The sequence below is a fragment of the Homo sapiens genome, chromosome 5 (assembly GCF_000001405.40).
Source record: "Homo sapiens chromosome 5, GRCh38.p14 Primary Assembly".
In the NCBI taxonomy this organism is placed as follows: domain Eukaryota; kingdom Metazoa; phylum Chordata; class Mammalia; order Primates; family Hominidae; genus Homo; species Homo sapiens.
Genome location: NC_000005.10, coordinates 119,381,698 through 119,406,588, shown reverse-complemented (window position 1 = coordinate 119,406,588; position 24,891 = coordinate 119,381,698). Strand labels below are relative to the sequence as shown.

Below are 24,891 nucleotides of genomic sequence, written 5' to 3'. Positions count from 1 at the left end.
TGTGTTATTATATTCCAAAGTAAAGAGAAAGACATGAAAAATGATAATTGGTGAATATTTTCAAAATGAAGATGAACATTTCACTCCAAATCTAAATCTTCTTCACATAAAAACTGCTCATTTAAAATGGTGCAAGGATTAAGCAAGTCTCCTAAATAAATTCCCTCTGCATCAGATTTCTTCTTTAAAACAGTCTGGATGATTGCTAAAGTGCATTTCAAATCTAAAATTCAACCACTAGAATATCCTTAGGAAAGGCAGCTGCCAACTACAGAGGTATCTCAGCCCAGAGACCTGGCTTCAGCCCACACTCAGCACCACTCCGTTACCTCCACATCCCCATCCACATCCTCCGGGCAATGACAACGATGGTGGTGGTGGTAACAGTAATTGAGCACTTGCTATATGTGAGGCACTCTTCTTTACACAAGTGCTTCATGTGGATTATATATAAATACTACAATGATCTCTCCTTAACAGGTGAAAATAACGAGGGGCAGAGAAAATAAGAAACCAGAACAAGATCACAGCCAGTAAGTGGCTCCCCCTTCATATGTTTAACAATCATCTGATCTGTGGATATGATAGTAAGGATCTCAATTTTCTGACTTTCAGCAACAAGCTAGTTGTTACATCTAATAAATATCAGCATTCTAACTTGGATCTTTGCATAAGCAAGCCACACATAGGTAAAGACAAGACTAAGGTGAGTTAGATAATTTTTTGAAGACAGCTTTCTTTGACCCACCATAGAACATACTGCAATTGAACATCTGGAACCAGAAGAGAATACTGAAGATTCACCTCAGCCACCCACCCTTCTGGGAGTGCTAGGGTGCTGTGCACAGAGCAGGGGTCTGTGTCAGTCCTGGGTTCAAGCCCTTGCTCTGCCCCCTGACCAGCTGTGTTGCTGAGAAAATGTGTAATCTTCTCAGTGTTAGTTTCTCTTCTGTAAAAGGGAATGACACCATATATCTCATGGTAAGAGGGTGCTGTATACAACATCTAGCAGCCTTATGTTAGCACACAGCAAATGGTTCGTGATCATGGCATCGTACTCAGGGTGGGGATGTCTGAATCCCGACATCACTATGAGAAGATAACTGCAGAAGGAACGGAATTGACTGCAGACAGGAAAGGATTAAAGTTAGAGATACTAATTTGATCTCTGCAAAAACTTATCTTGACTACCTCAGATGTGCCACTTTGTCTTTTCTGGAACAAAGAATAATTTTATCATCTGTGAGAACTCACGTCAAAGCGTCCCTTGATACACTCTCACTTGTAAACAAAAGTTTTCAGACTGGAACTTGCAGCAGCCCTGCTACTAGTGAGAAAAAGCAGAGGGTGGAACAGGCAGGACAATTGGCCTCTATTGTCATGCAAATAATTTCAGAAATGTCACTTCTTGAGATACTGAAAAGCTGATGGTGGTGGTTCATCGTACCTTAGGGAAACAGCATTTAAGCATCCCTGTTCAAGCTCATTAGTCTTCTTGATCATGTCTGCTTCCCCTTCACCAAAGTGATCCCTAAAAATAGCTGTTCCTCCCTTCAAAAGATGAACCAAGGGTGGGCGTGGTGGCTCACACCTGTAATCCCAGCACTTTGGGAGGCCAAGGCAGGCTGATCACCTGAGATCAGCAGTTTGAGACAAGCCTGGCCAACATGGCAAAACCCCATATCTACTAAAAATACAAAAATTAGCTGGGCGTGCTGGCATGTGTCTGTAATCCCAGCTACTCAGGAGGCCAAGGCAGGAGAAATGCTTGCACCCAGGAGGTAGAGATTGCAGTGAGCCAAGATTGTGCCACTACACTCCAGCCTGGGTAACAAAGCAAAACTCCTTCTCAAAAAAGAAAAAAAAAAAAAAAAAAAAAAAAAGATGAACCAAGGAGAAACTATACAAAGTAGGGGATTGGTTCAGTTGTTTGTATTTCAGCATATACTTATAAGCACCATGATCATCATCATCCCATACAGTATTTGGCGTTTGGTGTTTATCAGGCCTTAGAACTATTGTTGGCTTGATTGCTGGCATTAGGCTCAAGTGAGCAAGGAGCTGAGAGTGGTATTACACTCTTATATTTGACTTTACAACATACCTGGGAGAGCATCCTCATGGTGTTTGCTGCCTAAAATTGGTAGTCAGTCAGTCTTAGAGGTTATTTAAAAATATTTGATGAATCTTATAAGTAAAAGAAACCAGACACAAAAGAGTATATATATACTGAATGATTCCATTTACATGAAGTTCAAAAATAGGCAGAACAAATCTCTAGAAGTCAAAATAGTAGTTACCTTGGGTGGGGGACTTCTGGGTGATAGAAATGTTCTGCTTTTTAATGTGGTTGCTAGTTAATAGTTATGTTTACTCTGTGAGAAATTTCTCGAACTGTACGCTTATGATTTTCTGTATATTGAACTTCAGTAAGTTTACTGAGAGGAAGAGGAAGAAGAAGATGAGGAAGAGAAAGAAGAAAAGGGAAGAAGAGAAAGAGGGGGCAAGGAGGAAGAGGAGGGAAATAAATGAAAGAATGAACTAAAGGAAATGCATGGAATTTAAAACAAAACAGCACGCAAAAAAATAAGCACCTGAAAAGACATTCAATATCATAATTAAAATCACAATGCAATATCACTACCCACTTATTAGAACAGCTAAAGTAAACAATAATGGTAATGTCAAATAATGGCAAGGATGTAGAGAAACAGAGTCTCTCATACATTTCTAGTGTGAATGTAAAATGGCACAGCCACTCTGGAAAATAGTTTTTGCAGTCTTTACCATACAATTCAGCAATCACACCCTTGGCTATTTATTCCAGAGAAATGAAAAATTATGTTCACACAAAAACCTATGGATGAATATTCATAGCAGTTTTATTCATGCTAGAAAAATACTGGAAACAACCCAGATATCCTTCAATGGGTGAGTGGTTGAATAAACTCTAGTGCATCCATGCAATAGGATACTGCTCAGCAATAAAAAGGAATCAATTACTGATACATGCAACAACCTGGCTATGTCTCAAGGGTATTATGCTTAGTAAAAAAAAGCCAATCTGAAAAGATTACAACTGTATGGTTCCATTTATACAACAGTGAAAACTAAGGAAGTCTGTAGTCTAGCACCAACATACCAGTGTCAATTCCTGGTTTTGATATTGTACTACATTACAGGTCACCATTTGACAAAGCGGATGAAGGGACACAGGACTCTTCGTACTATTTTTACAACTTCTTATGAGTCTATAATAACTTTTTTAAGTTTAAAGGAAAAAGAAGAATCTTTGACCCTGTCCAATTTGAATTAGCCACACACGTTTATGAATGCCACTCCCCTCGGGCAGGGCTGGAACTCCCCAACTCCTGTAGTTTAGTGTGAAGCACGGTCAGTGGAAAACACAAGTCCTACTTGGAAGTACATTTACAGAAAATACTCACAAAAGATAAGGGAAAGGAGCAACCAAACCATGCTTCTTAGACACTCTGGTTGATCTCTTGCTCCTTGGGCTTGCGATGATTTATGTGACGAGAACCACATCAACATAGAACTTCAGGCTCTTTTTCTAAAATAGGAAACTTTATATACGAATGGAAGATTTATGAGAACTAAACAGAGGAATTAAAGATGAGCTATTAGGGAAAACAGATGTATTGAAATTACCATTGGAAAAAGACTGAAAAGCTTAGTTTGTCTTGAATTCCGAACTCAATTCTTGCTAACAGTAACCAGGAAGTCAGAGTCTCTTACCAAGACAGTAGCTTTCCCTTTCCTTAAGCTGAAAGGAGTGGGGAGCCAACGTCCGGTTGGTGGGTTTGTTTCTTTTAGAGTCTGGGGGAGGGGAGTGTGGCAAAGGCTACTTGAAGGCAGAATAGAGTAGAGTAGACATCTTTCTCGACCTGCTAATAAAAGCCAAATTGATTCTGAACATAGGGTAGGTTTTTAAGCAATCAGCCATGTTTATATTATTGTTCTTGGTTGAAATTACACAGTTTAGTCAAGAGATTACAATTTTTAAAACTAAAACTGGAACTACAAAAGCCCATATTTTTGTAAAATTCTTTCATGAATTAGCAAGTGTTAGAAAGTCTTGTAATTCATTCAAAAAAGGACCTTGCACTCCAACTCTCTGAATGTAAGGGAGTGAAAAGAAAAAGATCCTTGTCTTGTCTGGAGCCCCAGGGAAAGCCACAGCCTCAACCCCACACTGCGCTTTGTCCTCAGGGCTGTGTTCCTGAGCTTGATTGCCAGTCATTTGCCAGCAAGAGGATGGATTGTTTTGTTAATGTTTCTTCTTCAAGACTCAGGGAGCTCAGGGTAGTCATAGGGACAAGCCAACAGACAGAACCAAATGGTGAGCAGTACCCACTGAGATCTGGGCCTATGGCATGGCTAGTCACAAACTGAACCTCTTCAACCATGTACTTCTGTGTCCTGGCCTGAGGGGTCAAGGGACACACATATGCTTCACTGGGCACAAGGATATGAAGTCAGAGTTTATGCAGCTTCATAAATCAGGCTGCAATCTAATTTCTAGATAAACGATTTTAAAATGTTAAAAGCATCTCCCATGTTGCTATTACTCAGATAGTCCCAAGAATCAGAATGTTAAATAAGATGTTACTTAAATGTTGATTAAAAATTAATTGGGTGTGGTGGCAAGTGCCTAACGTCCTAGGAGGCTGAGGCAGGAGGATCGTTTGAGCCCGGGAGGCCGAGGCTGCAGTGAGCTATGATCACACCACTGCACTCTAGCCTGGGCAACAGAGCAAAACTCTGTTTTTTAACAAAATGAACCAAAAAAAGTGTTTAAAATATTATTTTACATTCTTCCATTCAGTAGAATTTATAATCTACATTTTGCCAGGGGCTTTTTATAACCATTATTATTTTGAAAAAAAAAAATAACTTGTAAGCTTTTTTTTTTTTTTTTTTTTCCCAGACAGGTGTTGCGCTCTGTGGCCCAGCCTGGAGTACAGTGGCAAGATCTTGGCTAACAGCAACCTCCGCCTCCCAGGCTCAAGCCATCCAAACTATCCTCCCACTTCCGCCTCCAGAGTAGCTGGGACTACAGGTGCATGTCACCATGCCCCGCTAATTTTTGTATTTTTAGTAGAGACAGGGTTTTGCCATGTTGTCCAGGCTGGTCTTAAACTCCTGGGCTCAAGTGACCTGCCCACTTCCCAAAGTGCTGGGATTACAGGTGTGAGCCACTGGGCCCAGGAACTAAAGGAAATGCATGGAACATGCATTTATAAAGGAAAATAAAGGAAAAATGGCCCATTTTATCTTCTACTTATACTGTCTCACATATACCACCTCCCCCACCCGCCCCCAGCACACATACTTGCCACTGATTTTGAAAAAGAAATCGGCCGCTACTTTGAGCTTATTGCTTTTAAAATATCAGTTTAAAGCTCAAAACACTGTTTGAAAATTGTTACATCAGAAAGCCTATGCTGGGCTAAAAAAGCCTTTCTTAGGTTCATCTGCATCGTGGGAAGCCCCGTTCGGTATTAAGTTACCTGTGCATTGTAAGTGTCCCCACCAGTCAGTAAAGAACTAGGTGTTACTGCATAGTTCCAGGGTACAGCCTGGCGTTAGGCACATAGTAGCTGTTTAATCATCATTTCTTGAATTACGTAGATTAACTTGTCAGGACTCACATGTTCACATGGACAGGAATGTAGTTATTAACTACATTCAGGTTAGTCCACCCTTATTTTATATATTTGTTTCCAATTAAAAACAAACTATTATGTGAAGAACTCCAGACTCCCCAAGAATTCTGTTTTTGCTGGAGCCAAGAGGGTGGGAAACAATCATATGGCATCTAGTCTTCGAAGATGGCCTCAAAGAGCCATGCATCCCAGAATTCATGCCCTTGTGTAGTTCCTCCTGTACTAAACCCAGGTTGAGCCTGTGTGCAGTAAAGGATTAACTCAGCAAGATTGGGAAGTTCGAACCCTGCAAATTCCAAAGAAAGGACTGGCCCTTGACTAGATCTTGGGAGACAGTCTCCAAGCCCTTGGAATATAGTGCTTGATAAGAGTGCCTTTGTATGCCTAGGGCTTGAGCCATGACACATTGTTTATGCTAACAATGTGATTTATGATATTCACCTGGAGCTCTGGGCCTCCCTGTTTCAGTTTGACTTCTGGAGGGGCTGGAGCCTGAGTAACTAAGGTTAGTCATGTGAGTGCTCCATGCCTCATTAACAACCCTGGACTCCCAAGGCTGGGGTGAGCTTCCCTGGTTGGCAATATTTTGTACATGTTGTCACACATCATTGCTAGGAAAATTTTGTGCTGTCTATAAAATTCTACTGGTCGAGGACAGCTGGAAGCTTGCACCTTCGTCTCTCCTGGCCTCTGCCCTATGTGCCTTCTTCCTTTGCTGATTTTCATCTGTATCCTTTTGCTATAATAAACCATAACTATGAGTACAATAGCTTTTCTGAGATTTCTGAGTCCTTCTAGAGAATCATCAAACCTGAGGGTGTCTTGGTGACCCCAATACAGCCTGTGATTTGATTTGACCAGTAGAATGAGGCAGAAATGATATTGTGCCTGTTCTGGGCATCAGCCTTAAGAATGCCTGGAAACTTCTGCTCTTGCAATTTGGGGTGCTCTTAGTAAGTAGTAAGTAGAGACCATGGGGAGAGGAGAGGCCCAGTCATCCAGGTGTCCCAGCCAAATCTTTGTAAGACTCCAGTCCCAGCCATGATCTGACCACAACCACATGATAGACCCCAAATCAGAGAACTGCCCAGGTGAGCACATTCAACGCACAGAATTGTGAGCGGGAACAAAATGGTTGTTGTTTTAAACCACTAAATTTTGGGGTGGCTTATAATACAGCAGTGGATAACTAAAACCAGCATGAATAATCAAGTGATTTAAGAGATTCAGAATTTAATTGGTTAAGAGATTATACATAAGTAGCTGCTAGAAATCATTACTTTCAACAATGCAACCCAAAACAATTTTCCTAAATTGAAAGCAAAAACCGATTTTTTTTTAAGGAGACTGGAATTGAACAAAATTCTCTCAGGCTGCTGAAGTCTGTTGCTTCATTTATTTTAGACTCAGTCTTCTTTTCATCGCTGATTTGGAAATAGTGAAAGGCCACCCGTAAACAATACCTCACATAGGAATAGCCTTCAGGAGGTCTCAGAGCCTTCCATGTCTTTAAAAATTGTATCTTTAAAATTAGAATATGAGGTAATTGCTCTTATGCAAATTTCAGAGACAACATGAGCGAGCTCCCTGGCAGGCAGAAGCTGGACGTCCTGGTTTCCTAACTGCTCCCACAAATGCCCTCTGTACCCTGCTGGGTTCCATCTGGCCACACTCCAGTGCCTCTCCCAGAGGAAGGCATGCCAAATTCCTGACACGTGGCGTTTGAAAATACCATGGAACGTTTCCACTCGTGGATTTCACCATGTTCTCCAGTGAATATTTTAGCAAGCTAAAAATGTGACTCCTCGGTCATGAGAACACTAAGTCCATATGATTCGAAAAGAGCAATAATGCTGGAACTTTGATCCAATTATCAGCAAGTCCTCTTCCAGGAGATTAAATGTCTTATAGTATTTTATAATTTGCTTAGCAGGTATTTATCCTTTAGTGAAAACCAATGGTCTTAGAAGAGAGCAGCAAAAGATGCTGACAAATCATTTAAATGGCTAAGTGGTCATTCTTGCTGGCCTAATAAAAGTCCATTTCTAGGAAGACGAAACCTCAGCTTCTTATAAATCATCAATTATCCCAGATAATGGTAACAATATAGATATTTATACTCTGAGTTTTTATTTCCGCGTCTTGTGTTTCAACTTCACATCAGGTTGGTTTTTAAAAATTTATTTATTTACTTCGAGACAGAGTTTCTTTTTTTTTTTTTGAGACAAAGTCTCACTCTTGTTGCCCAGGCTGGAGTGCAGTGGTGTAATCTTGGCTCACTGCAACCTCTGCCTCCTGGGTTCAAGTGGTTCTCCTGCCTCAGCCTCCCAAGTAGCTGGGATTACAGGCATGTGGCACTGCACCCGGCTAATTTTGTATTTTTAGTAGAGATGGGGTTTCACCATGTTGGTCAGGCTGGTCTTGAACTCTGGACCTCAGGTGATCCGCCCACCTCAGTCTCCCGAAGTGTTGGGATTACAGGCATGAGCCACCGCACTCAGCCTGGCAGTTTTAAACGAATGAATTCATCTGTAAGCTTTTGAATGGAAAAACCAAAGTAGAAAGAAACATATTGTCTTACATTATTCTACAAATCAAAACTTTTAAAAATCAAATTGTCTTTCTTGTATTAAGAACAAACCGCAAGTGCCTGATCATCTACTTTATTTCCACGAGGCAGAAATACAGTTATGCAGCTGATGTCAGGGAAGGCGGAGAATTTCCTCAGCCATCCATGAAGAAAGATAAGGGGCCTTATCCACTGGCTGTCTAATCTTATAAAGATCTCATGCAAATTTGGTGGACATAGGGCACAATTCTCTATCCTTGAAGAACATTTTCCAAAGCACAGATGTTTTTCTCTTAATTGTGAATGCTGACTGACTTGTCCATATCCTTTCTCAGTGCTCAGCAGATGGTACGATTTGGGACTCGCTTGTTCCCTATAACGTGGGGCTGATGTTCTTTGCTACGTGGAAAACACATCTTTGGTGAGACAGAAATGAATCAATATTACACAAAAATGTTTCCATTTCTGGAATTTCCCTGAGATAAAAATATCTTTCTGGCTTTGGGTATACATAAGTGACCGTGCAGACACTTAGTAAAAGAGAAAACAGATTTTCAATACTTCGTGGTGATGGTGACTATACGGGATTATAAGTAGTTAAAGGTTTTCCTGTTGCATCATTTTGGAAACAAAAAGCTGACTCATTTTCTGGTTAATGCTTCAATATTTTCATTAGGGAGTTTCTATAAAGTTTTTATCTGAATCACAGAAAGTACAATTATTTCAGAGGTAGGATAAAATTTTTTCTGTCATAAACAGCACTGTGTACTAAAACCTGCTATGAGTTTAACAAATCACCTAGAAGCCTAATGCTCAAGAATGCAATATATCAAGTAAAACACTGAAAAGTTCAACTAGTTTAGATAATGCAAGTATGGAAATGCAAGATTGACTAAAACTTTTAAATATTATCACTCTTATTAACATGCTAATTTAATTCATTTTACTGGAGTATTTTAATTTCCTGGCAATTGAATAGCACTTTTTACTACAAATATTTCATCATTTGGATAAACATATTCTTTTATTTACCATTTGTCAGGTTTTGTATGCTAAATTGCAACTGCTTATATACACTCATCAAGTATCTCAAGGATAAATTAAAATTCTTAGTAAAAATCCAACTGACCGGTACAGACCACAAAAAGTACTATTTTAAGCCTTTGGGGGCTTAAAAATTGTGTGTGTGTGTGTGTGTGTGTGTGTATTCACATGGTGGGAGAAAAAGAACTTTCCAGATAATTGTGAATGGCATACTATTATATAAGAGTTTAAAACGCAATATTTCTGTACGATCAAAGTTCTTAACTCATGCTTTTTTTTTTTTTTTTTTTTTTTGAGACGGGGTTTCGTTCTTGTTGCCCAGGCTGCAGTGCAGTGGTACAATCTCAGCTCACTGCAACCTCTGCCTCCCAGGTTCCAGCGATTCTCCTGCCTTAGCCTCCCAAGTAGCTGGGATTACAGGTGCCTGCCACCACATCTGGCTAATCTTGTGTATTTTTAGTAGCAGTGGGGTTTCACCACGTTGGCCAGGCTGGTCTCGAACTCCTCACCTCAAGTGATCCTCCCACCTCCGCCTCCCAAAGTTCTGGGCTTACAAGCATAAGCCACCGCACCCACCCCATGCTTTACTCTTAAACTAATTTTGAGTTGTATATGAAAGGCCTAATAATCAGAAAAAGGCTATTTCTTAACTTAACTTGCTCAAATATTTTGAGCCTCCAAATCTGGAAAATAATGTTGAAGTTTGAAACTGATGCCGTGCCTACTCTAGGGAGCACAGTACTGAACTGCTGCTTCCTTGCTTCTCTTGGTGAATGCACATTGAGTGCCTTGTCATGCTCTGAACCCACCACTGCTAGGGACAGCTGTGGGGGAGCAGCTCACTGCACCTCAGAAGTCAACGTTAAAAGTCATTGTGAGCACCTAGAAGTGAAGTTCCACGAGACAGAAAACTGAGCCACAAGATGCCCCCAAAGTAGGAGTCATGTTGAAAACTTTGAAAAATGTCTTTGTACAACATCTACACAGATCTTTAGAGAACAGGCCAGACCTGTGCTGACTTAGGTACTGCCTAAAATGTCACTATATGAGGAACCATTTCAGCAGCATACTGCCCACGCTTCTCTGAGCCAAAGATGTTCCTAGCACTGCCTTTAGCCATATCATCTTTAAGTGAAAATAAGATTTTATACATATTCCGGCTGGGACACCTCGAGCACATGTGACCTCAGGAAATTCCTTAACTTCTATTCCCCTAGTTTCCTTATCTATAAGATGGTGAAGATTGTGGCAGAATTAAATGAGTTAATGTGCCCGACACATAATACAAACTACTCTGCGTTAGTTGTCCATTAGTATTATCATCCACTTATCATATCCACTCATAATTTTTGCAGAGAAGCCACCAGCACAAAATAAAATCAATTACAACACAATTTTTTTCAAAACGTGAACAGATACTATTTTATAAAAAGGTTCATAGGATCCCCAAATTAGTATTAACTCGGCTCAGATTTATCTACCCTAAGCACGTGGGGATTCTTCCCAGCTCCCACGCTCCTTGCCACCCTAAATGCTCAAGGGGAGTCCTATTGTATTAGAAATGAACTTGCTAATCACGACTTTGGACCTGATCCAAGACATGCTTTTCAGGCACAGCACTGGTAAGGAGATGGGTCCCCTCCAGAAAATGCTGAGAAATGGTAGCAAACAGGATTCCCTCCTTCGGTCTACTCCTCACTGCCTTCCCTCTGTGGGAGATGAAGCATTGCTCCCCCAATCCCATGCACATTTGATTGCTAGCCTGCTGGCACAACCCTATGATCCAGTGTGTCCAGAGAGATCCAGATTTCTCCCTCCGTACGTTTTCTCTCTCTGGTTGGTCCTGTCTATAGCTACAGATGAGCAAGAAGCATCCATGGACTGCCCAGGGCTTTCGTTTCCCATACCTCTGCTGTTTGAGATCTGGAGAACAGAACACATCCAGTCAGTAGCTCACACCCCCCATCACATTCTCAGCCTTCACATGTGAGGAAAACAGCTGGTCAAGGAAGGCTGCTGAATTCCATTTATAAGCCACTTAGCAAGTTATGAAGCTAGAAGGGTCATTTCTGTAGTCACTGTGTTATTGTTACAGCATATACTGATCACCTACTGGCTCTAGGAAGTGAGAATGATACTTTCAGTTCAAATCTTAGTGTCAGGATTTAATATCAAACAGGAAGAAACTCTACACCTTTGCTGCTTGTCTTAGCCAAGCAAATGAGGGTGTCAGAGAAACTGACCACCCTCTCTAGGCTGAAATGGGTTAGAGCAGATCTCAACTTCTGGAATTTTTAGTTGTGGAACCTTTCCTGGTAAACTATTATTTTAATGTCAATATTCTGGGAGGCAGGCAAATTTAAGGCAAGAGAGTACACTAAATCATAGGCACAGTGGCTCACACCTGTAATCCCAACACTTTCGGAGGCCGAGGCAGGCAGATCATTTGAAGTCAGGAGTTCAAGACCAGCCTGGGCAACATGGTGAAACCCCATCTCGACTAAAAATACAAAAATTAGCTGGGTGTGGTGGTGCATGCCTGTAATCCCAGCTACTTGGGAGGCAGAGGCAGGAGAATCACTTGAACCTGGGAGGCAGAGGTTGCAGTGAGCCAAAATCATGCCACTGCATTCTAGCCTAAACAACAGAGCGAGACTCAAAAAAAAAAAAAAAAAAATCATAGACACAGTGACAATGGAAATGTTTATTGCTGGTGGTTGGGTCTGTCATTTCCTAGAGGACATAGCTGGCCAGCAGATTTTCATTTCTTTTTTACAAAATAAACAAATGCCTACTTTATTATTTATACACAGAAAATTATATAGAAACACCACACAAACTGCTTGAAATACAAATATTCTTTGGTTTACTTATCAAAGTAAAAAATAACAAAAATCTTATCAGTTAAATAAAAAAGTGACATTCTTTATCAAGCCTTCTTAAACACTGAAACGCACGCATTTTTATGCTCATGTTCTTTAGCAGTATTTCTCCCCTTTTGCCCCTCATTCCCCTAAATTGTTTCAATGAGTTCATCTGTAGAATGAAGATTGTTACCTTTCTTAATGCTACTTACTTTTTATTATCTCAATATCAAGACCAATCTAGACTTTTTTGTCTCTTACATGTGAAATGGATGTAAAAAATGGAAAATTCACCAGCACTTTTTAAGATAACATAAAAGAAGCCCTAAGCAAGCATTTCAAGGCAATGACACACCATTACATTTCTGAGAAATTTAAGTATCATTGGTACTTAAAAGGAGAACTCAATTCCAGAAGCATATTCTTATACTGGACATTATTCATAATAGCTAATATAGTTCATTTCCACAGTACTGATTTCAGATAAGCCATTTTTTTTTTCCTGAGGGTTGACTACCTCAGACTTAAATCCTGAATGTCGATGACTCAATCTTAACAAAACAGTCAGCTGTAGACATGAAAATTGAATTGTTTCAAAAGGAGCAATGATAGCAAGAGAAAGTTCTTGGCATTTTAAGAAAAGTACATATACATAGCAAGAAATGAAAGTAAATCAAAATACATAGCTTTGTACATGTTAGAAATATCCAATGTGCCACCAACACAACAACTGCCCTATTAAAAAGTCCTCAGGTCTGGAGACATCTGTATTTTTCTTTGTATAACTACATTTGCATTACCCAACCACATATCTCTCCCATGGTCTGTTACCCGTTAGGAAGCTTTTAACCAGAATTTTTGGCAATATGCTTTTCTTCAAATAAAACAAGCCTTCAAATAAATCATTATGTCTGACAACTGAATTGGGTAAAGTCTTTCTGAAATATGTGTAATCTTTAGAAAATTCTTCTTTTTTCCTTCATAAATCAGCAGTGCTCCATCTTCAAATAAATCATGATCAGTCACAATCTTAACTCATGTGCTCATATGTTCTCTTCATCCAACATTTTGTTGATACCATCACATAGTTTTTGTAAGTGGGGTTTAAAATTCCCAAAAGGATTATACAAGGCAGCCAAAAATTCACAATCTGAAAAATGATCAAACACATTATTAACCCGTCCATGTGACTTGGCAGTGAGGTGGCGCTGAATGATTTGGTGCAGCATCTCTCTGCATTCATTTAACAGCCTGGATAACACATTCCGGTCAAAGGTATAATCCACCTGATGGAAACTGACCACGGTCATAGCAAGCTGATGAACTTTCTTCTTAAATTTCTCCATCAATGCTAGCTCATCTTGATTAAACTGATTATTCCTATAAAGAATGGCCAGCTTGATGACTGTCTTGATGAGGTTCTTGATGATCTTCTCTGCCTCCTTCTTGTTTTGGGTGTACTCCCTGGTCACTCTGTAGAGCTCATCCAGCACCTCACTACTTGTGTCGTCTATTAAGGTGGTGGCGATGGATTTGGACACCATTTTACCCAAGATCTTCTTTTGTGCCTGAACGGCCAGGTTTTTGGAATTAAAGACATCTGTGGCCACTAAAAAAAAAAAAAGAGAGGAAAAGAATTAACAATTAGTAAATATCAGCAAGTGAAGCGAACTAAAAACAGGTATTTGGGAGCACTTTTTTTCCTCATTTTCCCACCATTTGTGGTTTGTCTTACATCTACCGACATTAGTCTCTGTTCAGAAAAGAATTTTTGGCTGGGTGGAGTGGCTCACACCTGTAATCCCAACACTTTGGGAGACTGAGGTGGGCAGACCACTTGAGATCAGGAGTTTGAGACCAGCCCGGCCTACATGGGCGTGGTGGTGGGCACCTATAATCCCAGCTACTCAGGAGGCTGAGGCAGAAGAATCGCTTGAACCCAGGAGGCGGAGGCTGCAGTGAGCTGAGATTGCTCCACTGCACTCCAGCCTGGGTGACACAGCGAGACTCTGTCTCAAAACAAAAAAAAAAATACAAAATCAACTCTATACCTGTCATCTGGGCAACAGCAACCACAAGCGATTTAAAAGAAATTCATTTAAATGGAAGAAGAACAAATGGCAAAGCCATAATATTGAGTAAAATGGCAGATTAAGCAAATCAAAAGGAAAGCCTTGTTTTATAATCCGGTTGCAAAAAGTCAAATTTCCCAAGACATTGGCCAGTGCCTACCAATTTGGCTGTCCTAAGTACCTTGAATTTCAGCCTCCAGAAGTCGAGTGTTGAAAAGAAGTGCTCCTTGGAGAGCTCATTGTCACTTGCTATTTCTGATGAATGGCCATTGTTCACTTTACATTTTTACACATTTTGGGGAAATAACCTTTTCATGAGCTAATGAAATGTGCTACATGAAAAATATACTTTGAAAAAGCTGTTGCTTAGAGTTTACTTTTGGAATTATAACTTCTGACAGATGTTTACAATATACATAATAATGGCTATACATATTAAATATTAAACAGACACTATATGTAATCTTCCCACCTTAGAGCTGGTCAAGTGAAAATGCTCAATAAATGTTTATTCTCCAAACCAAGTTTACTTTTCTTCTACCACAATTTTCCCCACTCCATGCATGTAGCAATCTTTTTTTTTTTTTTTTTTTGAGACGGAGTTTCACTCTTTTTGCCCAGGCTGGAGTGCAATGGCGTGATCTTGGCTCACTGCAACCTCCACCTCCCGGGTTCAAGTGATTCTCACAACTCAGTCTCCAGAGTAGCTGGGATTATAGGCACCCTCCACCATGCCCGGCTAATTGTGTATTTTCAGTAGAGACGGGGTTTCACCATGTTGGCCAGGCTGGTCTCGAACTCCTGGCCTCAGGTGATCTGCCCATCTCAGCCTCCCAAAGTGCTGGGATTACAGGCATGAGCCACCGCACCTGGCCCATTTCTCTCGCTTCTCCTAAGGCTTAAGAACTGCAGTTCTTTGGGTGTCTACTCAATCTCTGAGTCGAGTGGCAACTGTTCTCTCCATATATGCCAGTGTTTAAGCCTAGGCCTGGGTATCAGAAAGCAGTCATTTGGTAATGAAAGATAAAAAGTTTAAAAATACAGATACATACAAATGAGTCAAGGCATCAATGATTATATAAGATTATTTCTAGTTTGGATAGGCTAGCATCATTAGGAAGCAAAAAGGCAGCTGCTTCAAAATCCAGACTGGGAAGACATATAGGAAGAGTGACTCCCTTAATCCAGAACTGCCATGTTGGATTTAAAATTGGGGAAAGGCGGGGTGTGGTGGCTCACACTTGAAATCCCAGCACATTGGCAGGCCCAGGTAGGGAGAGGATCACTTGAGCCCAGGAGTTTGACACCAGCCTGGGCAACATAGCAAAACCCCATTGCAACAAAAAACTACAAAAAAAAAAAAAAAATTAGCCAGGTGTGGTGGCATGCACCTGTAGTCCCAGTTACTAGGGAGTTGGAGGTGGGAGAATAATCTGAGCCTGGGAAGTTGAGGCTGCAGTGAGCAGTGATTGCACTACTGCACTCCAGCCTGGGCAACAAAGTGAGACCCTGTCTCAGAAAAAATTAAAATTAAATAAAATTGAGGAAAAGAAGAACCAAATTAGATTTGAAATTTGGACCAAAGTAGTTCGTGGTATATAGTAGAGGCAGCTGCAAAATGGTTCCTTATGACCTGAACATCATTTATAAATATACAGTGCCATACATCCACTCAAAGAATGTCTTGATTGAATAAGAAAGGGTCCCCTCACAAATGTCGAAATTTAAACTTCTGAAACATGAACTGAAACTGCAGAAGAACTAAAATATATTTTGAAAAAGAGAAGGAAAGTGAAAATGTGTGAGAAACAGCCAACTTTATGGAGAAGTTTCCATCATTTAATGTTTTATGTTTTTATCATTTAAGCAGAAATCTGTTTCTATTCCTATTCTTCAATGATTTGCAAAAGAGTATAAAGATTAATTCACACTAAAGAATTTATGTCAAAAGAAATGGCATCCATGTAGCTAACAGTATCACATTAAAACCAGGGACCATATTTCATCTTAGAACTCCTGATATAGACCTCAAAAAAAATCAATAAACTTGATTTATATAGGGATACCCAACCATTTTCAGCTACTCAGCAGATAACCAGGATTTCAGTAATATATTACATATAAAGTTGAAATGTTATTGTGTTTTTTTTTAATGTTTTAGAACATGGCACAGTCTACAAATATCTTACCTGGGATTTACTACAAGTCTATCAGTTGGACATACTTTATGTTGTGAAATATTGAAACCAGAGGGAGAGGTATTCATAAGATTTCTCCTTTATCCAAGACTGGACTTTCATGTTTACACCTCTTCTCAGCTACTTTTCTGATTAAATCTCAATATCCCATTTAACTTCAAACATGGAAAACAAAAACTCTATGATACAGCACTTCAACTTCCTGCAAGAGAGTGTGTAACAGGCAAATCTACTGCCAACTAAGCAAGATCATTCCCCATTTACTGGTAATCAAGTATGAATCAAGATAGAGAAGTTGATCTCTGAGGCTTTCATATTTATCCTAGAGGAACTTCAAACCCCGCTCCAGAAACACAGCAGCTGTGTCACACTTTCCTTTTATTCTTTGGGTTATTCCAGTGAAGTCGTCTTTTTAAATGAGGTTGAAGCTCCTTGTTCCCCTCCACCATCTGAAGCTCTTTCTCCCCCTCCACCAAGAAGACATGCATGAGTAGATTTATTTTCCAGCATTAGAGAAAGTTTTTTTGAAGCCAACTGGGGCTTGTGGCTGAGAGTCGCTGGCCAGGGATGTGTGGTCTGTGCTCATGAAGTTTGTTTCTTTTTCTTGCAAATTAACTGCTGTTAGCCATTCCTGTGCAGGCTCATTTGTCAGTTCCACATGCTCTACCAGATCCCTTAAAAGTCTGGTGTATCTCAGAGCTAGTCCTGGATCAAGTTTTTCTCCTTCAGTCTATCCTCACCCCTGTGTGATCTCATCCACTGCCACAGCTTCAGATACCACCCATGTGCCAATGACTCCCATAGCCATAACTCAGCCCTGACCTCTTTTCTGGACTCATTTTGTAAGTGCATTCAAGATTTTTCTTTCCTTGACTATTTTGCAGGCATCTCAAATTTACCATATGCAAAACTGATCTTTGATTCTCTCCTGCCTCCCTACTAAGTGCTCCTCTTTCACTCTTTATGATCTCAATTAATAGCATCCCTTCCAACCTTTTGCTCAATCAAATCAGAGACCTGGGGATCATCCACCATACCATTCTCTCCCTCACCCAGTCCATTATTAAGTTCTTTCCATTCCACCTTCCTCCTGCATTTCTCTGAATTCTATCCATTTCCCTCCATCTCCACGGACAGCAGCCTAGTCCAAACCCCTTTCTATCTCTTTTCACATATCAGCCAGAGTTTCAAGAAATGAAATTTGCAAATGGGGCCGGGCGCAGTGGCTCACACCTGTAATCCCAGCACTTTAGGAGGATAAGGTGGGAGGATCACTTGAGCCCAGGACTTTGAGACCAGCCTGGGCAACATAGCAAGACCCTGTCTCTACAAAAAAAACTCAAAAAAAAAAAAAAATAGCTGGGCATGTAGTCCTATTTGCTCAGGGGGCTGAGGTGGGAGGACTGCCCGAGCCCAGGAGTTCAAGGCTACAGAGCTGCAGTGAGCTATAATCATGCCACTGTACTCCAGCCTGGGCGACACAGCAAGGCCCTGTCTCAGAAAAGAAAAGAAAAGAAAAGAAAAAAAAAGATGCTTCATGTAAGTTCTTTGCTAACTATCACACCTCCTTGTTCCTTAAATCCTCTTCATTTGCCTACATTTTTATTGTCTGCCTCTCCCTACTAGGATTTAAACTCTGAGAGCAAAGATTCTGTGTATCATGTTCACTGTGTCAACTTGCAGGCCTAGAGAGTGGCTGGTCCAGAAGCAGCAATCAATTTCCCCTATCTCATCCACAATATACTCAAATACTTTTCTATGAAAACATGTTGGCCTGTAAAACGAGAGTTGTAAATACATTAGTGGGTGTTTTTGTTTGTTGTATTAAAAGGTAGAAAAACAGGTATTTGTTTTACCTCACTAAACATGTGGTTTTTCTTCCCTCTAAGTGCGCTCCAGAGTATGATTTCTCTTACTGTCATCAACCAGTTCTTTTAAAGAGGAGAGATTTGTTGTGCATAATGGGAAAACATCCAAGGACAATAATGCAAATATTTAGAGTAAAAGCAAGGTGTAGTTCTGACTTGAACTGTAGCAGGAGATTAAACACAGGCCCACCTCTACTTCTGGCTGGATCTATGTTTAGACATGTGCCAGAGGGATACCTAAGGCATGTCCTGGGAAGCAACTAAGATGTAAACAGGAGATGTTCCCCAAGGAGAAAGTGCTGAAAATATTCATTCAGTTTTTTGCCTCTTAAGATCAATTCACTTGTGTTTGGAAACAGACATGTAAATTGTTCATTAATGAAGAATAATGCTGTATTTAAAAAAAAATACAAAGCATTACCACCACATTAAAACTGTTTAAGATTATTTTCTAGAAATAGGGTGTAAATGTTATTTTACATTACTTATCTTACCTCCCTCCCTCTCTGTCTCTGTATCTCCTCCCTTGGCCATTTCAGCAACATTTGCTGTAAGGCAAAGTGATATTTAGGGAATTCTGGCTTTAGCATCAAAATTATAAAGTTAGAGATAAATATGGTTAAAATATACTGACCCAAATATTCAAGAAAAAATATGCTCAGAAGGAAAAAAAAGTCCTTTGTTATTAATACTTAGTTTTATGAAAATTAACAAAAATGCCCCATAACATAACTACTCCCACTGAGAATTTTCTAATAAAGTACTCAAATCATTTTCTTTACAGTCTTACCAGTAAATACATAATTTTTTCCCCTCAAATCTATTATACTTGGGACTCTTTAACAGTGATGACAACAGATGTACATACATTGCAAATTCTTGCCTAGTTAAAACTCGATCCAGGTTTCCAATATTAGGAAGGATAGAAAAGATAATAATTTGGAAAGCATGTCTGGCTGTTGTCTGTTAATAAAAGTTCTTTAAATAAATATATAAAACCTTAGCTCTCTTGTATCTAAATAATTCTAAATCTAATGGGACTTAGTAAAAAGTCAGCTTTGGTGATAAGAAAGTGGCCAGAACAAACAACGAACCCTGTCATAAGAAGTCAGCAGGCGAAGAGTTGACCTCCCTACATGGAGATTTGGCAGTGCTCCAGAGAAAAGCAATGAACGCTCGGAGTAGCTAGTGATGTGTCAGTGTCACCAGCTTTCATACTCAAAATCCCAAAGTCAGAAATTCAACAGCATAGAGAAGAAACAACAGAGGGAAAGAGAGAGGGAGAAGGAAGGAAGGAAGGAAAGAGAGGGAGGGAGGGAGGGAGGGAGACCCAGTAGAAGCAGCACAGATATGAACTCTAAAGGGGGCTGCCCTGGAAGGGTCAGAAGCAACGACCATGGCAGCAAGCTGGAGGCAATCTTATCAACTAGAGAGAGAAGACAAGTGCCAGGCACCTTAATCCCAAAATTGGCCTTATGCCACACAGATGGAGGCTGTCACACAGAACATAGTCTTGGGAGAATCAATACATCTGAAGTCCTTAACCTGATACGGAATGCACATTTTGGGGTATATGCACATCCCCCCAAGTGGTTAAGAACCAGTGACAGGCACCATTACAGTGGCAAGCTAAGTCATTCACTCTGTTTCTTATACTCCAGAAAAATACATGCTAACCTTAAAAGGCAACATAGTAAAGAAGACATGTCAGAGAAAATGGTGACTTTGAAATACTCCTCCCCCGCAAAACAAAACAAAACAAAACAAAACACTGGGTTCTTTTGACGGGAGTATTAGGAATTGTCTAAGGCACTCTTCCAGATTCCCTTTATTGTCCTTCGCTTAGCTATTTTATACTCTGTAAATTGTAGAAAACTGATAATATTGCAAATGGCTCTTCTACATACAGACACAAATAAAATGTGTTCAGTGGAGCTGCATGCAATTGATTCCTGATTTTCTTGTTTGACTGCTCTTAAGATCCTCCTTGAACCAAATATAAGAGCTTACTGGTTCCCTCATTAATAAATGAGTTAAGTAAAATCTTCAATATGTGCAATTTGTATTTATATGAGAGTCATGAATTTATCCTCTTAAAAAACATACCTTGTAACACATATTAGAATGTTTTCCACCGAAAACATTTTTTTTAAAAAGACTGCAGTATGAACCTTTAATGCACTAGTGTTCTTTTTCTGTGGCAACTTATTTCCCCAGGGTCCTGGAAAACTATAGTATACTTATAAAAGTCCAAATACTCTGTAGCTAATGGTTCCATGAACTGCCACACTGCTCAGGGATATTACTGGTACTCGGCTTCCTCATCTGTAAGATAAGTACAATGATCCCCACTTTTTGGAGTTGTTCCAGAGATAAATGGACATGGACCACATAGATGTGTTTCACACAATCCCTATCACAGAACAGCCTTCTTCATAGGTTAAAGAACACAACAAATTAAACTTCAAATACATTCTGATGCTCTTTAGTACAGAATCACATTTGGCCAAAATTAATTCCTTCTGGTAGTATCATGAACTGAGAAATGCAAAATGCCAGATGGCTGGGTGAAAACGGAGACCTCACATAGTTCAGCTAATAAGGAGTTACATCTTCTCTTTCATAATGATATTTAAAATATATAACATATTAAAAACTTTCTTTAGAAGGGAATTTCTCTTTTTTTAAGGTGCTTACTTTCTTGTTAGCAATAGATTTAGTACTACGAGGACTCTGCTAGTTAAAATAGGGGTATTCTGCCTAGAGAAAACTGGCCTATCACGAACAGAATGAGAGCCTACTACAAGACAAGAGGAGAAGCCTAGTCAACATCCATGAAAAGCTATGCAACAGCAGCAAGATGCAAAGGTAATGGGCCAAAAATAAAGCCACAGTTAAAAGCCACAGGGGCTGACAAGGTCACTTTAGAAGTCACAGCGTTCTCATGCAGTTTCTGAAGCCTCCCAGAGAACCAGAGATCCAACAGCAGGGCGTGAAGCCAATTAAGAACAGCATGGATGGAAACAAAAGGCTCAAAGTCAAGAGTCCCAGGTTGTAAACTTGGGTGCAATTTATTTGAAACACAGTTTTCTCATCTTCTACACTGGAGGTCATTTCAAGTTGGTGTGGCTTAAATGAGATTTAATGACTTATAAATCTGAAAAGATCCAGCAGTGTACTAGGCCATTTCTCCTTACATCCCTTATTTGCCAAATTCGTGGACAAGAAAAATGATGCCTTGAAGAAAACAGGATGAAGCCTTTCCCTCTGTGATCTCAGGCTTTAATTCTGGAATCTCTTCATCATGATTTTGAGTTCAACCGTGTATCTTTTATTCCTGTGGCTTAGTTTTATGACGATTTTGAAAATGTCATTTCCTGAGTTTCAACTCCTCTAACTTCATATCAGACCCCATCTCTGCTCTTTTTCTATCAATTTGCCCCAGGAATCATATGATACCTTCTTTATGGCATAAACTCTGACAAAATATCCCTGCTGCTTCTAGGTTTCTGATACCAGTAATGGAAGAAAGTTTGGTGATGTTAGTATAAAGCAGTATGGTTGGACCTCAAAGACTGTCAGTCTCAAAATATTAGGATAGAGGTTATGGGAAATGAATTTTGTGGTTACCCAAAGTCAGAGCCAGAGGTTTATATCCACAAGACTCATTGGTTGCCCTAGGCAATAATGATTACAGTGATAACAATAATAACAGCAGCCCCCATTTTTTGAATTTGTACTACATTATCCCTGGAACCGCCTAGAACTTGTGTTATCTTACTTATTTATTTTTTATGTTTTTTTAAGATGGAGTGTCGCTCTTTTGCCCAGGCTGGAGTGAAATGGCACAATCTCGGCTCAATGCAACCTCCACCCCCCGGCTTCAAGCAACTGTCCTGCCTCAGTCTCCCAAGTAGCTGATTATAGGCACATGCCACCACGCCCAGCTAATTGTTGTATTTTTAGTAGAGAAGGGGTTTTGCCATGTTGGCCAGGCTGGTCTCGAACTCCTGACCTCAGGTGATCCACCCGCCTCGGTCTCCCAAAGTGCTAGGATTACAGGCGTGAGCCACCGTGCCGGGCCACGTTATCTTACTGAAGCTTTACGGCAACCCTAGGAAGGAGGTTATTATTATACTCATTTTAGAAATGAGGTGACTGAGGCCCAGAGAAATTAAGTTACTATCTCAAGGTCTTACAGTAAGTGGCAGAGATTAACTTGAACTCAGATATGTCCAACTCCAAGCTGTTACACTATAATACATGAGCTTAAGAAAAGAAGCTTCCTCTTCTTTTAGTATAGGAAGATCTAATAATGTCTAGCTAAGTGAAGTAAGATGAAAGAAAAGAAAGGGACCAGGTCTCCCTGCAGGGAAGAAACAGACCATAAGGAAGATCAACCCAGCTGGGCTTGAAATAGCTTCCAGGGAAGAACTTGAGCAGTTTATAAGCATTTTAAAATATAACCTAAAACGACAATATACTTACATTGTTCAAAAGTCAGAATATACAGAATGGAAAAGCTCTTTCTCATCTTTGCCACCCACTGCAGTTCTGACCCTCAACCCTTGCCCTTGCTTCCAAGAGACAACTTAGATTTGTTTTTTTTCTCCCTGCATAACTAAGCAAATACATGAATAGATACTGAGCAGTGCAAAGAAGTCTTGGAGGCTTGCAATTCTTAAGAAATGCAACTTTTGAGTGATGAAAGAATATAAACTGTATATGTGTCCATAATTCCACATAAAACTAGGACATAAAATGGTAAAATGCTGGAGAAATACGGGCTATGACCTTTGTTCCCACACACACATTATCAGTAAGGATCCTTCAGTAAGTGATGAGAAGGTAGCAAGTATGTAAAGTAGGTCTTTATTTAATGGTTGGGGGGCAAGTATTATGATTAGAGTGATCAGATAATTTATCATCCAAAGGGAATACTTTTGGAAACAGTGCTGTTAGTAATTACACCATGACAACAGATCTGTGACTGACCCAGAATGTAAGTGGTCACCCTATTTATGACTAAATAAGAAAGTGTCAAAAATAAGGATTTACCTAAATATTCAAGACCTGAGAAATTTCTTGGCAACCGCCCAAGGGCATTAGCTAGCTTCTCTTACAAACTACATTAAAAAAACAAAACCTTAATTCTTCAATAAGCTAAAAGAGTCTTATGGGGGAAAATTATCTCTAGTTAAATAAGTTTGGGAAACAGTGTACACAAAGGTCCCCTTTGGAGATGCACAAAATGCTTTAATAATACTAAAGGCTTTGAGGATTAGTGCAATAAAGAACCATTTTAACTTTGCTTACCCAAGTTTTGCAAATTAATTTCACAAAGGATACCATAACAAATTTGTAGAATAAAGTCAGTGAAAATAATTGGCTAACAAATTAACTAGGGTTCTTGGTATTCCTCTGGAATGAATTCACAATTATCAGATGCAAATAGGGGAGTACAAGACAGGCAGTCAGGTAAACCCAGGCATTATGGTAATTGCAAGCACCGGCTCTAGAGTCAGACTGGGTCAGGGGCCTTGCCCTGCTACTGAGTGCTCATGTGCCTGGAGCAAATTATCTAACCTCTCTATGCCTCAGTTTCCTCATCTGCAAATGGGACTACCAAGAGGATTAAATGAAAGTAATCCATATAAAGTGCTTAGAACAGCACCAAATATAAAATAATTGGGTCAACTGATGTAAGCAATTATTATTATTATTATCATTATTATGGTAGATACTGTAAACGTTCTGCTGGTATAGGATGCCACAGGTCTTATGATCAGGTCTTGTGAAAGGAGTGTGGCGAAAAGAGAGAACATAAACCCAAAGACATGAGTCAGTCAACAAAAACTTTTGTTGAGTGTGTATAATGTATAAGATACTGTGGTTTCAAAGATAAATAACACTATCCCTCTTCTCCACTCAAGACTCCCAGGGACTGGTCCGGGGATAGATGAGTACACAGCTAGGCAGAATGCACCATAAATTGTGTAACAGGAACATGTAAAAATGCAATGGTAGCAAAGAGTGGAAACATTAGTTTTTGCTGATGGGGTGATAGAGGGAGGTTAGGTTTGAGGAAAGTTTCACAAAAGGAGATTGACTTCAAAGAAAAAGAAGATTCTGCCTTATAGAAATAAATATGATTGTATTTCAGAGCAGATCTGTGGAATTCCTACTGGCTAATTAGGAATTAAAAAATTTTGTTCATCAGTGTACCTATATGTCAGAAACCCAAGGATGTATGTGTCTCCTATGAATTTTAGAAAAAATTGAAACATTATATATAGCTTGTTAAGACCCAGGAAATACTACAAAGGTACTCCGTTTTTTGTTCGGTGTTTTTTTTTATTTTTTTTGAGACGGAGTCTTGCAGGCTGGAGTACAATGGCGCGATCTTGGCTCACTGCAACCTCCACCTCCCGGGTTCAAGCGATTCTCCTGCCTCAGCCTTCTGAGTAGCTGGGACTACAGGTGCCCACCACCATGCCCGACTAATTTTGTATTTTTAGTAGAGACGGGGTTTCACCATATTGGCCACTCTGTCCCTGGTAAAACTCCTCTGGCCAAAGTGCCACCCTTA

General features: G+C 39.9%; 1 protein-coding gene across 10 annotated transcripts in view, besides 9 other annotated features; it reads right to left on the bottom strand.

Moving 5' to 3' along the window:
- Positions 1,692 to 2,192: an enhancer, noted in NCBI's record as "H3K4me1 hESC enhancer chr5:118740092-118740592 (GRCh37/hg19 assembly coordinates)". NCBI's record gives its function as "activates a minimal SCP1, AML or CMV promoter by ChIP-STARR-seq in primed H9 embryonic stem cells {active_cell/tissue: H9 hESC(primed)}" and the evidence as "EXISTENCE:reporter gene assay evidence [ECO:0000049][PMID:30033119]".
- Positions 4,000 to 4,568: an enhancer, noted in NCBI's record as "OCT4-NANOG hESC enhancer chr5:118737716-118738284 (GRCh37/hg19 assembly coordinates)". NCBI's record gives its function as "activates a minimal SCP1, AML or CMV promoter by ChIP-STARR-seq in naive H9 embryonic stem cells {active_cell/tissue: H9 hESC(naive)}" and the evidence as "EXISTENCE:reporter gene assay evidence [ECO:0000049][PMID:30033119]".
- The window catches only part of TNFAIP8 (TNF alpha induced protein 8), a 130,930-nt gene continuing 112,939 nt past the window's right edge, over positions 6,901 to 24,891 (bottom strand). For 7 of the 10 annotated variants that reach the window (NM_001286817.2, NM_001286815.2, NM_001077654.3 and 4 more), the window contains one exon: positions 6,901 to 13,773. In NM_001286817.2, coding sequence (NP_001273746.1) covers positions 13,208 to 13,708 — 501 coding nt within the window. In that variant the 5' untranslated portion in view covers positions 13,709 to 13,773 and the 3' untranslated portion in view covers positions 6,901 to 13,207. Of the gene's footprint in view, positions 13,774 to 14,417; positions 15,587 to 18,796; positions 18,846 to 24,891 lie in introns of those variants that run through there. The other 3 variants (XM_017009327.2, XM_047417081.1, NM_001286814.1) reach the window with 3 other exon arrangements.
- Positions 8,689 to 8,738: an enhancer, noted in NCBI's record as "active region_22986". NCBI's record gives its function as "activates an Ori minimal core promoter by ATAC-STARR-seq in GM12878 lymphoblastoid cells {active_cell/tissue: GM12878}" and the evidence as "EXISTENCE:reporter gene assay evidence [ECO:0000049][PMID:35858748]".
- Positions 9,019 to 9,068: an enhancer, noted in NCBI's record as "active region_22985". NCBI's record gives its function as "activates an Ori minimal core promoter by ATAC-STARR-seq in GM12878 lymphoblastoid cells {active_cell/tissue: GM12878}" and the evidence as "EXISTENCE:reporter gene assay evidence [ECO:0000049][PMID:35858748]".
- Positions 11,503 to 11,552: an enhancer, noted in NCBI's record as "active region_22984". NCBI's record gives its function as "activates an Ori minimal core promoter by ATAC-STARR-seq in GM12878 lymphoblastoid cells {active_cell/tissue: GM12878}" and the evidence as "EXISTENCE:reporter gene assay evidence [ECO:0000049][PMID:35858748]".
- Positions 15,366 to 15,523: a silencer, noted in NCBI's record as "fragment chr5:118726761-118726918 (GRCh37/hg19 assembly coordinates)". NCBI's record gives its function as "represses an EF-1alpha promoter that drives an FKBP-Casp9 reporter gene in an ReSE screen in HepG2 liver carcinoma cells {active_cell/tissue: HepG2}" and the evidence as "EXISTENCE:reporter gene assay evidence [ECO:0000049][PMID:32094911]".
- Positions 21,046 to 21,115: an enhancer, noted in NCBI's record as "active region_22983". NCBI's record gives its function as "activates an Ori minimal core promoter by ATAC-STARR-seq in GM12878 lymphoblastoid cells {active_cell/tissue: GM12878}" and the evidence as "EXISTENCE:reporter gene assay evidence [ECO:0000049][PMID:35858748]".
- Positions 21,186 to 21,335: an enhancer, noted in NCBI's record as "active region_22982". NCBI's record gives its function as "activates an Ori minimal core promoter by ATAC-STARR-seq in GM12878 lymphoblastoid cells {active_cell/tissue: GM12878}" and the evidence as "EXISTENCE:reporter gene assay evidence [ECO:0000049][PMID:35858748]".
- Positions 21,346 to 21,395: an enhancer, noted in NCBI's record as "active region_22981". NCBI's record gives its function as "activates an Ori minimal core promoter by ATAC-STARR-seq in GM12878 lymphoblastoid cells {active_cell/tissue: GM12878}" and the evidence as "EXISTENCE:reporter gene assay evidence [ECO:0000049][PMID:35858748]".